This window comes from Homo sapiens, chromosome 22 (genome assembly GCF_000001405.40).
Source record: "Homo sapiens chromosome 22, GRCh38.p14 Primary Assembly".
In the NCBI taxonomy this organism is placed as follows: domain Eukaryota; kingdom Metazoa; phylum Chordata; class Mammalia; order Primates; family Hominidae; genus Homo; species Homo sapiens.
In genome coordinates this window covers 47,809,728-47,822,710 of record NC_000022.11, presented here as the reverse complement: position 1 = coordinate 47,822,710, position 12,983 = coordinate 47,809,728, and the positions used below count along the sequence as shown (strand labels likewise).

At 48.5% G+C, this 12,983-nt stretch overlaps 1 long non-coding RNA gene across 1 annotated transcript in view, besides 1 other annotated feature; it reads right to left on the bottom strand.

Annotated features, from left to right (window-relative positions):
• EPIC1 (epigenetically induced MYC interacting lncRNA 1) overlaps positions 1 to 12,983 on the bottom strand; it is a 223,927-nt gene that overhangs the window by 32,890 nt on the left and 178,054 nt on the right. The gene's annotated exons all lie outside the window — the stretch shown is intronic.
• Positions 8,376 to 8,875: an enhancer, noted in NCBI's record as "H3K4me1 hESC enhancer chr22:48209585-48210084 (GRCh37/hg19 assembly coordinates)". NCBI's record gives its function as "activates a minimal SCP1, AML or CMV promoter by ChIP-STARR-seq in naive H9 embryonic stem cells {active_cell/tissue: H9 hESC(naive)}" and the evidence as "EXISTENCE:reporter gene assay evidence [ECO:0000049][PMID:30033119]".

The following is a 12,983-nucleotide window of genomic DNA, read 5'->3' as shown; positions in this document are numbered from 1 at the left end:
TTCTAGATTTTGATGCTTTGGCATTGCATTCAGCAAAAGCCTGCAGACCAGCATACCACACAGAGACCGCATTCCACATTGCAGCACGACAGCTCCCATTTAAGCAGCTCAACTCCTGAATTATTTGTGAACTATTGAGAAACATCATCATGCCCTTAATATTCTGCAAATACCATGCGCTGTCCCTAGTGTGAATGCCTCAGAGCTTGCAAGACTTGGAAATATATGAATATATGATTTGAGGAGAGAGCAAGCTCAAAAGGCCACTTAGCCCATTAGAATGCATTTGACTTTAATATTCAATTCCCTCTAGATATTATTTAATTGTTTCCTAAGTGAGCCTAGCATTTTGACTCAATATTGGTTTTCCCCTCTTAATTTCCATGTATGGCCCCTTCTGCCTGAATCCAAAATAGTAATGTAACCTCATCAACACTGTTTAGGATTCAAGGCAGTTGAATTAAATCATTGACTAACAGTTTATTCTCTTGGCTCTGAAGACTAAATGCTGCTCAGCTTGTCTACAGTGGGCATCTCTTTTCTTCCGAGAGCTTCCTGATTTACTTTACTCTGTGATGAGAAAAATGTGTGCAACAAAAGAGAGCCTGTTTCTGAAGGAAAGAGTACCTGAGGCAGTGGCTCACACCTGTAATCCCAGCACTTTGGGAGGCCAAGGCAGGCAGATCACCAGGTCAGGAGATCGAGACCATCTGGCTAACACGGTGAAACCCCGTCTCTACTAAAAAATACAAAATATTAGCTGGACGTGGTGGCAGGCACCTGTAGTCCCAGCTACTCAGGAGGCTGAGGCAGGAGAATGGCGTGAACCCAGGAGGGAGGCGGAGCTTGCAGTGAGCCGAGATTGTGCCACTGCACTCCAGCCTGGGCAACAGAGCGAGACTCTGTCTCAGAAAAAATAAATAAATAAAGAGTACCTGATAATCAAAAACAGCCCCACGCTCATGGTAGCAGAACTGTGAATGGTGGGGCAGCAAAGCCCTTTGCATGTCAACACTGTCTGCGACCTTGTCTGCCATTTCCAGAAGCTCAGCCCTGACCAAGCCAGGCCACACCCCAGCCCAGGGCTCCCATGAGTCTCCCTGTTATGGCTTGAATGTCTCCCCCAAATTTCATGTGTTAGAAAATTAATCCCTAAATCATACATTGATTAGAGGTGGGGCCTTTGGGAAGCAACTAGAATTAGATAAGGTCATCAAGGTGGTGTCCCCATCATGGACCTGGTGGCTTTATAAGAAGAGGAAGAGACTTGAGCTGACACTCATCCTCTTGCTTTCTCACATTGTGAGCCTCATGCCATGTCATACTGTAGCAGGAAGGTCCTTGCAAGATGCCAGCACCATGCTCTTGGACTTCCCAGCCTCTAGAACTGTGAGCTACATAAACTTATTTATAAATTACCCGTTTTGTGGTATTATATTATAGCAACAGAAGTGGACTAGGCACTACCTTTCCCTGATGAGTATCTTCGGTGCCATTTGAGGATACTTCTCTGCCTCTTTGGCAACCTGGTTCTCCCTGCCTCTGCAGTTTCATGCTCCATAGTTCTGTCTGCTAGGCTTGTTCTCTATCACTGCTTCAGATGTTTTCCTAAAACTACTTCTATCAGAAGAAAAGTAAATGTGTAATATGGGGGAGATGATCTAAGCCACACAACCTAAAGGAGCCTCTTAGGGCATGGGAGCTCTTAATGATATTATTTACCTTAAATTCCTGAACATTCCACTCCATTTCATATCTGCATTTGTTTTCATGAAAAATAAAGAATTTGTTTTCATGAAAAATAAAGATTTAAATTACCACTGAGTAATATTAACTATGTGAAATCAGTCTAAAGACAGCCCATGTCCCCTGAGGTTATCTGAGGCTGAGAAAACATGTGCAGGTTGTCCAACAAAGAAAAACACTCAGCCCGGTGTGGTGGCTCATGCCTGTAATCCCAGCACTTTGGGAAGCTGAGGCAGGCAGGATCACCTGAGGTCAGGAGTTCGAGACCAGCCTGGCCAACATGGTGAAACCCCGTGTCTATAAAAATACAAAAATTAGCCGGGCGTGGTGGCAGGCGCTTGTAATCCCAGCGACTCGGGAGGCTGAGGCAGGATAATTGCTTGAACCTGGGAGGCAGAGGTTGCAGTGAGTCAAGAGCATGCCACTGCACTCCAGCCTGGGTGACAGAGCCAGACTCTGTCTCAAAAAAATAAAATAAATACATACATAAATGAAAACCACTTAATAAATGTTCAGATGGTCTCAAGTTAGGCACCGTGAGGTGCCAGCAAGGGCCATATAATGGAAGAAGAATGAACAGTAGAGAAACTCAACTCTTGAGCTTGGACCCAAAAGAAGGGAAAAGTTTAATGATTCAGCTCTCAGTGTTGGTTCTGCAGTTGGTGAGGTAGGCAGAATCAGCCTAAGAAGCAGATCAAATTAACTGTTACAAGATTTCCACCAGAGAAGAGGAGGAAACAAGATGAGAGAAATGCATCCCTAAAGGCTGAGCCCATTGCTTTAGAAAGAGGGTTTAATTTACTCAAGTCCGAGAAAATTCAGAACCCAGTGGAAGCCCAGGACTGGGGAAGGTCATGTCAGAGGTCATGTACACCGCTGAGGCAATCATGGGCACAGCTTAACATCTTCCACAGTAATTGTCTACTTTAATGCAGAAATCTGCTAAGAGCACCTCCTGCTGGGATCACCTGGGAGACTGAGGCAATCTTGCCAACTGCCAACATTCCTGTTGGAACCACAGCCATTAGTCAATGATGTGGGCAACTTTATTTCTGAATTGGATTGAAATTATTTTATAGTAAAATTTATAATAAGCTTATATAGATGTATATGCATATCTTTTTTTTTCAAGAGAGCTGGTTAACACCAACACCCCACTACAATAACCTTAATGAAGCAGGTATGATTATTATTTCTTATTTTCAGCTTTATTGGGGTGTAATTGACTATTAGAATTGTACGTATTTAAAGTGTACAGGCTGGGTGCGGTGGCTCATGCCTGTAATCCCACCACTTTGGGAAGCCGAGGCGGATGGATCACCTAAGGAGAGGAGTTTGAGACCAGCCTGGCCAACATGGTGAAACCCCATCTCTACTAAAAATACAAAATTAGCTGGGTGTGGTGGCACACACCTGTAGTCCCAGCTACTTGGGAGGCTGAGACAGGAGAATCGCTTGAACCCAGGAGATGGAGGCTGCAGTAAGCCGAGATCATGCCACTGCACTCCAGCCTAGGTGAGACAGAGCGAGATTCCGTCTCATAAATAAATAAATAATAAAGTGTATAACTTGATGCCTGATACATTGTGAAATGATTACTATCACCTAGCTAATTAGCATAGCCATCACCGTACATTGTTACCATTTTCTTCTTTTGTTCTGTGAGAACACTTAAGATTTACTCTTAGCCAATTTCAAGTATAGGATACAGTGTTATTACCTATAGACACCATACTGCACACCAGGTATAATTTTTATTATCCCTATTTTAAAGATGAGGAAGCAGAGGCCAGAGAGCCTACACAAGTTACACAGCATCACACAGCTATTGAGTGACAGAGCTGGGATTTGAAATGTGCCCCTCCAGTCCAGGTCCTAGACTCTTATCTACTATCCTGTCTTTCCCCCTGGATTCAATCTCTTCCTCCCCTGGATTACCAGAACATTTTGTGCAAACCTTTCTCTCACTGTAATGATCATTGCAGGATAATTAAGTGCGGTTAATTCTTTTTCTTTTTCCCCAATAGACTCCTTCATTTCTCTTCCTCCAGTGGCTATAGCACCGTCCCTAACAAACAGTAGGCACTCAATAAATGTTTAAATGAATCGATAAATAGATCATGCTGTCCCCCATGTGCCTGCACTTTCTGCCCTTAGCCTTGTGGTGCAGGTGCAGCTCCAGCTCCTCTGCCTCTGCAGCCCCCGCCCTGACGTCTCCCCACCTGGCCGCAGTGCAGCTCTCTCCAGGGGCCGTCCCCTTGCTGTCCCAGAGCCCCCGCCTGTGCCTTCTCTGTCCTCCCATCAGGCTGCTCTGGTACCTTCTGCAGATGGTTTGTGTTCACTTGGTTTTCCCTGCACCCCAAAGTGCTTCCCTTTGAGGACAGGGATTCGGTAGGCATGTGGCAGGGCCCATCATGCGTGAGGCCGTGGTTGTGAGTGGACAATGGAGACTCTGCCTTTGCAGGCATCCAGCCTGGACTTCTTGCTGAGCTTTGGATCCTCCACTGCTCCCCAGTCACCGCCAGCTTTCTGTAGGCTCTTGGTGGGTGAGGGGCAGGTGGAACACAGCCCTCTGCAGACATGCTTCCATCACTCTGCAGGATTGAGAGGGCAGGGCAGCCTGGCCTCAATCCAGACCCAAGGAAAAAAGATGGCTTTCCCGGTGCTGGCTGGAAGATGAAGGCGTCATATGTTTAGAAGAAGAGCACACCAAGGGCCCTGCTGCTGTATCTGCTTTTGCAGTCAATGGTGACTCCTTGTCCATCTGCACAAACCGTACAATCTTAATCAATGGCAACTTCCCAATACTGTGGCGATAGGGGAGCTCCAGTGGGGCAGGGGGCCGAGCCCCTCGCAGGAGAAAGAAGGTGGCGGGGCTTAAGTGAGGGAAGACGATCCAACCCTGACCATCCTGACTGTTGGGTGAAGTTCCCAGGGATGACCGGCAACCCTTCCTCACCACCAGCTGCCTGCCTGGCAAGGAAACAGGGGGCATCAGATCTGGGTGTCTTGTGTTAAAGTCCTTCTTGTTTGCCCTCGTCCAGGACTGATATAACCTAGATCTAGGCAACAGGGAGGGGCTGCTGGGGAACTCTCTCAGGCCCGTCCTGCCTTGTACGTACCCTCCCAGGCCTGATGGGTGAGATGTACTCTCCTCATGGGTGTGTGCAGTGGTACCTGAAAGGAAAAAATCTCAGCTCTCCATCTCTCATCCTGGGCCAGCTTCCTGGCGCCTCTATCCTTAGCTGTGTGACTTGGAAAAGTCACTGTGCCTTCTGGAGCCTCAGTTGCTTCTTCTGTCAAAAGGATTGAATAGTTCTTGTTGGGCAAATGCTAATGAGAATAAAAGCAAGTGCCTCTAACATCAGTAGATGCCATCTTTCCTTTGTGGTCGTCATTGTGGTTTCATACCCAGCACAAAGATCTTCCCACCCGCAGGTCACTCACAGCACTGGCGTGGATTCTTGAAACCACAACTACAAATAGCCTTGTTCTCGATACTTATATTTGCTTGTGAATTACAGAAGTAAAAAATTAAAGAATTTTTCTTGTCAACAATCCCAGTAATAGAGGTCATATAGAGGTCATAGGATGCTTCTCACTCCATCGATTCCTCTCCCCACCTCTACCAGAAGTAACCCTGTGTCAGGGCAGGAGGTGTTGGAAGGTTATTTTTTCAACCTTGGAAGCACCATGAGGCAGCAGGAGCTGGCTGCCACCTCTGATGAATGTCTGTACACCTCCGTTTGAGGTCAGGAGCTGGTGGTTCCTGCCCTATCCGTCTCTGTACCGAGGCTCCTCTGGGTGATTATTTCTGAGAATATGGGCTGTTGGGATGACAAACGCCCTCGCAGCCGTGCTCACTGGCTACCTAATTACTGTGTAGAGGTTTGCCCAGCACACGGCCCCAGCATCCGTTCTAAAGGAATGTCACACCAGGCCTGAAAAACTACCTCCCACAATCTCCACTTTGTGCGGACATGAAAACTGAGCCTCTGGCAGAAAAGTTTCCAAGAACTCAAGAGGTGGGAGGTGACACAGCTTTGTCACCCGTCTTCTGACTTCTGAGTCAATGTTTTGTTCTGTTTTACTTTCACTACTCCTCGGTGTCTATAACAATTTTATTGTACAATTATGTAGTCACGCTCTCCTCAGTCCCTCTGCAAACCCTTGGGACCCGGCATGCCACGCAGTAGGACAGGAGACCCACCGTGGGTCATAAGACTCCCCAAACGCAGCCGCAACAGCTCACAATGTCCACCAGGATTCAGAAAGAGATAGAGAGGCAGAGACACAGAGATAGGAAGAGAGGGAGAGAGAAGGAGAGAGAAAGGGAGAGGAAGTGGCAAGAAGAGAGCGTTATCTGTGAAGGACATTTCTCAAATCCCCATTTTGTGCCCAGGACCCAGCCTTGCAACGGGATGGTTTGGGGAGCATCGCGAGTGTGGTGCCAGCTCCACAATCAGCACGGGGGAAATGAAGGCCTAATCATCACTGCTTTCGCCTCCTGATGATGTTTTGTCTTATATGCCAATTTCTGCAGAAATAATTGATTTTATGGCTTAATTTCATTCCTTGCCTGTCATGTTGAAGACATAAGCACATAATGAGATTGTTGTCTAACATTCACTGGGATTAAACGCCAGTAGAGTATCTGGGATTAATCAGCCCTGTTTCTTTCATTAGATTATCTGGAGCAGCTCAAGCAAACAAGCAGGTTTTGCTCAGCTTGCAGCCTGTCCCCAGCAGATGTGGCCCAAAAGTGCACAGCGATTCCCAGGTAGCTGGCTGTAAAGGTATCTTCTGTAAAAAGGCCGCCAAGAGAACAAGAGAAAAGGTCAGACGGCCAGCAGGAACCCTGGCCTTCAGGCAACGTCCAGGAAACCAGACAGAGGTGTGGGGTGGCGTTTTCCCGCAATAGCGCCTCAGAGATTCAATAAATCGGGCAAAGAATATATGAAGGTTCAGGGTAGTGGCAAGAATGCCAGCCCACTGGGCAGGGGCAGGAGCACAGGGTCCAACCCAGAACTGCTTTAACCTGGCGCTGAGTTCTGAGCGAGCCTCCCGCCTCTCTGCCCCTGAGTCTCCTGCCTGGGAAATGTAGGGATGTGCGGGAGCCTGTCCCTGGGCCCCCTTTTAAAGGCAGGAGGCACGGGGAGGGGCATCAGTCAGCGGACCAGCCTCTTGCTGGCTCTGTGATTCTAGGCATGTTGTCCAAGCTTTTCAGCTCCCTTTCCTGAAATAACAATGAATTTATATACTTCACATGGTCTTAGAGTAGAATTGCCAGATAAAATACAGGATCGTCAGCTAAATTTAAATTTCAGATTAATTTTCCAGTATGAGTGCATCCCACATGTTACTTGGGACATATTTATACTAAAAAGTTATGTGTTTATCTGGAATTCAAAGTTAACTGTACACCCTGTATTGTTATTTTTTTAATATGGCAACTCAATCTTAGAAACAAAACAATCTGATATCTATTCCTTCTTATTATTTCATGTATTCAATCAACAACGATTTCCCCAGCACCTACTATGTGCCAGACACTGTTTTATTCCATGAGAAAAAAATAGCAAAGAATGAATGTCAAGCACATGTGATATAAATAGCACTCCCCAAATCAGCTACACTCAAATGCCCACACCCTTAGTTCCATCGGCCACTCCATGAATACTTCCAGAGAGCTTTCGTCCTTCGGGGGCTGTTCTAGGTGTGGGGCTACATCAGTGGCCTGGATGGAAAAATGTCCTTGCACTCATATCCCAGAGAGGTGAGTTAGCAACAGGGGTGAGTTAGCAAGGAAACAGCAGATACAACATGCAGGTACATAGTGCATCAGAAAATGACCCATGCTAGGGCAAATCCAGTGCTGGCAGCTCCCGACTTTAGTGCTAAGCCAACTCCCCTGTGCCCAGGGCAGCTCATACTGGACCCACCGTCCAGGCTCCAAGGCAAGTGGCTTCACACTAGCTCCCTCTTGCTGCCTCCTCCATTCCCTGAGAGTGTAGCTGTGTGTGTTGCCCTCTCAAAGGGACTTGGGAAAGTTACACACCCTGCCCTGTTCACATGCAGATGCACACATGCACACAATCATGTATGCACACATACACAGTCATGCATGCACACACATAATCATGCATGCAATCATGCATGCACACACATGCACACACATTCATGCACACACATACACACAACCATGCATGCACACACATGCATGCACACACATAATCATGCATGCACACACACAATCATGCATGCACATGCACAATCATGCATTCACACACAACCATGCATGCACACATACAATCATGCATGCATACACACAATCATGCATGAACACACACACATTCATGCACACACGTACACACAACCATGCATGCACACACACAATCATGCATGCACAGTCATGCATGCACACAGTCATGCATGCACACACACTCATGCATGCACACATGCATACACACACTGTTGCATGCACACACACATGATCTTGCATGGACACATACATACACACATTCATGCATGCACACACATGCACACACACGCATAGTCTTACACCAGGCATCTTTTCTTGCCTGAACCTCCTATGTTCTCTCTTTTCTAGCTTGTTTGAGGTGAACATGAGACACAAGCCTTACTGGCTGGTACAGACTCGGCCGCAGAAATTGCCATGTTAGCAGATAACAATGGTTGAATATTGGCAGTTTCACAGTATTCAAATGAATATTAGGGTACCATTATGTCCAAGGTGCCCTGAATGCCCAGATCCTACTTTGACCAGGTCATTTTTCCTGGCGATGAATTTCTGTAGGGAAAGAATCCATGTGGGATGTGGCAGGTCCCAAGTCGGAGCGGCACCTTCCACCACTTTATCACTCCTATCCTGGTGCTGCACTCTGTGGCAAGGCGAAATGGGAGCAGGTGACACGGGTTCAAAAGTCAGACATGAATCCTTCTCCCCTCTAAGGAGAGAACAGAAGAGGGCAGCGTGGCTGTGGAGCTGATGCTTCTGCCGCCTCAGATGATTTAAAAGGGAAGGTTGCACCGGGGCCTGCAGTCATCACCCCACAGCGACCGTCCGCTAGAAAACAGGGTGTGGCCCGGCACCCTCTTCCCTGCGCACCCCATCATTCTGTGTCCCCGAGACAAATCCCTGGCTGGGCTGTTCCCCACACTCATGCTGAACTCGACAGTGAGTAGCAATGTGCACAAAACAGGGAGCACTGTTCTCACTCCCACCACCCTCACCCCGCAGCCAAGCAGCCCACGGCCCGCAGGGGAGGGGGACTCGCATTCTGCACCCAACATTTTGCATCTCCGAAAATTACCACTTATTCTTCGATGGTAGTTGACAAAGGACCCATGTCCTGCACAGTGCTCAGGATTCAGAAAGCATTCTACCTCGTCCACAAAGCTCCTGACAGCTGATGTGGCTTCTCGGGGATCCATTGGGCCACCTGTGTCCCTCACGCAGCCTGACCTCCTAGAGCTGCCCTCCATCACTCACCTCGTGCTGCTAGACCGGCCCTCACCATCCCACGTGGAGAAGAGCCTCTTCCTGGCCTCCCTTCTCCCTGCATTCTCCCCTTCAGGCATGCTCTCTCTCAAACCCAGTCCTTCTGTCGACTTGGAACCCTTCAGAGGCTCTCCCGACTTCTGTAGGAAGAAATCCCATCTCATCACAGCATCTGTCCTGAATCTCCTGGTCTGTACCCATGTCTGTGGCCTCTCCCCCTCAGCTCCCCGACACATACAACACTCTGTATGCTGCCTCCTCGCAGACCACCTGCACCCAGGCCCCCTGCCTGCTCCTCCTGCCCCCAGAACCAGGTGGCCTGTCCCCAACATTGTGTATGGCTGCCTTCCATCCATTTGTTAAGATTTAAGTCGGCCAGGCACGGTGTTTCACGCCTGTAATCCCAGCACTTTGGGAGGCTGAGGTGGGCAGATCACCTGAGGTCAGGAGTTGGAGACCAGCCTGACCAACATGGAGAAACCCTGTCTCTACTAAAAGTACAAAACATTAGCCAGGTGTGGTGGCACATGCCTGTAATCCCAGCTACTCAGGAGGCTGAGGCAGGAGAATCGCTTGAACCTGGGAGGCAGAGGTTGCAGTGAGCCGAGATCGCACCATTGCACTCCAGCCTGGGCAACAAGAGCGAAACTCCGTCTCAAAAGAAAAAAAAAATAAAAAATAAAAAAGAGTTAAGTCAAGTACCACCTAACTGAAGAGGTCCTCTTGGGTTAAGCATAAACACTCTTTCTTTAAATTACCACCAGTGTGTAATGCTCTGCGGCTCAGTTTGCTCATGGGTAGATGACTTGTGCCTTGGGATTGCCTGTAGACAAGGGCATTAGTGAAGACCCAGATCGAAGCCCTGCCTGGCACCTGTGTCCCTGGAGCTAGTAGCTGTCTTTGATGTACTAAATTTCTCCTGATGTATTTCTCAGAGCACGGGCTTTGTATTCTTAGTATTTCTATTTCTTGGAACTAATACAAATAGATGTTCAATAAATCTGAGTCCATGAGCAGACAATGAAAACCCAGCTAATGCCATGCACTTTTTCCCTCTCTCTGAAGAGTTTGTATTCTTCCTATCAGTTTCCAGGCGATGCCACAACTAATTGCCACAAACTCATGGTTCAATCTCTCACAGTGCTGGACGCCAGAAGTCTGGAATCAAGGAGTTGACAGGCCTCGCTTCTTTCAAAAGCTCAAAGGAGGATCCTTCCTGCCTCTCCCAGCTCCTCCTGGCTCCAGGTGATCCTTGGCCTGTGGCCACATCCCTCCAATCTCTGTCTTCAAGGACACGTGGTCTTCTCCTCTGTGTGTTTGAGTATTCCCTGTTCTCTTATAAAAATTTGTCATCCACGCTGGGTGCGGTGGCTCACACTGTAATTCCAGCACTTTGAGAGGCCAAGGTGGGCAGATCATGAGGTCAGGAGATCGAGACCAGCCTGGCCAACATGGTGAAACCCATCTCTACTAAAAATACAAAAATTAGCCGGGCGTGGTAGTCTGCACCTGCAGTCCCAGCCACTCAGGAGGCTGAGGCAAGAGAATTGATTGAACCCAGGAGGCGGAGGTTGCAGTGAGCTGAGATCGTGCCACTGCACTCCAGCCTGGTGACAGAGCAAGACTCCATCTCAAAATAAATAAATTAAATTAAATTAAATTAAATTTGTCATCTGATTTGAGGATTTGAACTTAAATCCTAAGGATGATCTCATCTCCATATTCTTAATTTAATCACACCTGCAAAGACCCCATGTCCAAATAAGGTCATATTCACAGAAGCTGCGGGTTAGCATTTGGACAAGACTTTTTGGGGTACGTAATTTGGCCCACAACACCCCTTATAACTGGGGATAAGGACACATTTTCCTTCGGAATGCCCACAGCTACGGAACATCGTTCAGCCACACTGCTGTGTGTTAAGGGCAATTAGAGGCAGCTATTTCAGGGGAAAGTTGGGTTTGACAGGGGGCTGGGGATGTTGGGTTTTTGCATGATTTGCATATGGAAACCATCCGTAAGGATTCATGCCAGTCAACACTCAGCACACACAGAAGCAGGCAGGGTGCTGGGAGCCGCCAGGACGCATCAGCCATCATGATCCCTGCCCATCTGAGCTCGGCCCCCCTGGTGACAGACACACACACATCATTCCAGATCAGGAAGCTGCAACTCCCGCTGGGGTCTCAGTGAGATGTTACCAGAGCCAGTGAGAGAAGGAAAAAGAGATCCCTGGTCCCACTGTGGGAACCAGAAATGGTGCCTTGGAGGGAGGCTGGAGGAGGTCCAGCTGATGCTGAGGGGCGAGGGACCCCTCTGGGGCCGGGGTAGATGGGACTGAGGATGGATGGGGCAGGGTCTGTGAAGGGAGAGCCGGCAGGTGTCACCGCGGCCCACTCCTAGGGCAAAAGGGGGTGTGTGGGCCATGGAGAGGCCAAAATCTGGGCTTCTGTACGGGGCTGCACAAACACAATTATGACAGCATTCAGTTCTCGAAAGGAGCCCTCCCAGGAGAGGGAATGCTAGGGTTTTACAGATGGGACCCCGGACTCAGGAACCGCCTAAGGGGGCACCGTGGGAAAGTCTGAATTCCTGTGGCTCAGCTTCCTCACCCGCTTGGCCACACCGTGGGGAGTGGAGGAGGGAAAAGGGAAGCAGGAGGGCCAAGGAGGCTTTGGAAAAGCCCCGTGGAACAGAAGCCCCTGGCTGTGGAGCAAGGGTCCCCCGTCCCTTCAGAACCCCAACCGGCAGCCACCCCACTAAAGCCCAGTCAGGCTCCCTCCAGGATGGATCTGAAATTCCCCAACACTCTCAGCCTCTGCCAGAAGGTCCCGGCGCCCACTGAGGGCTCAGCCTCTGCGGCCAGGCTGTGTGAGGGGCCTTCTGGCTCCACCAGATCTAGGCTGTTGGTCCCGGGTGAGTTCATCTCTGGGTGCCTTAGTTTCGTCATCTATAAAATGGGTAGAACAATAGTACCTACTTTATCGAGTTGTTTTGAAGATTAGCTGAAATGTTGTGCACAGGTACACACACACGACTTGTCAGAGTTAGCAAGTAAAAGTACAGCATAAACAATCCTCATATTTTTAGTATAAATGCATTCAAATATTCCATAGCACACACTAGAAAACCAGTATTTGTTATTTATCTAGAATTTGAAACTAAAGAGATATGCTGCATTACTTCCGGTAACCTTAACACAGGCATATAAACACACAACACACCACACACATACATACACACCACACACACACCACACACACACACATACATACACACCACACACACACACACCACACACATACACACCACACACACACAACACACACACACCACACACACACCTCACACACACACGTGCACCACCTAAACCACACACACCACACCACACACACATAAACACACATACACACCACACACACACCCCACACACACGTACACACCACACACACACACACCCCACACACCACCTAAACCACACACCACAGCACACACATACATACACACCACACACACACACTCCCCCCCAAACACACCACCTAAACCACACACACACCACACACACATACGTACACACCACACACATACACCCCACACACACACCACCTAAACAGAGGCACAGGCATCAGGAGCTTCTTCGTCTCTGTTCTGGCTCTGCAGCCTTTGTGAGCAGGGGCTGGCAAGTTCAGGAACAGCTGAACTTTGATCCTGACAT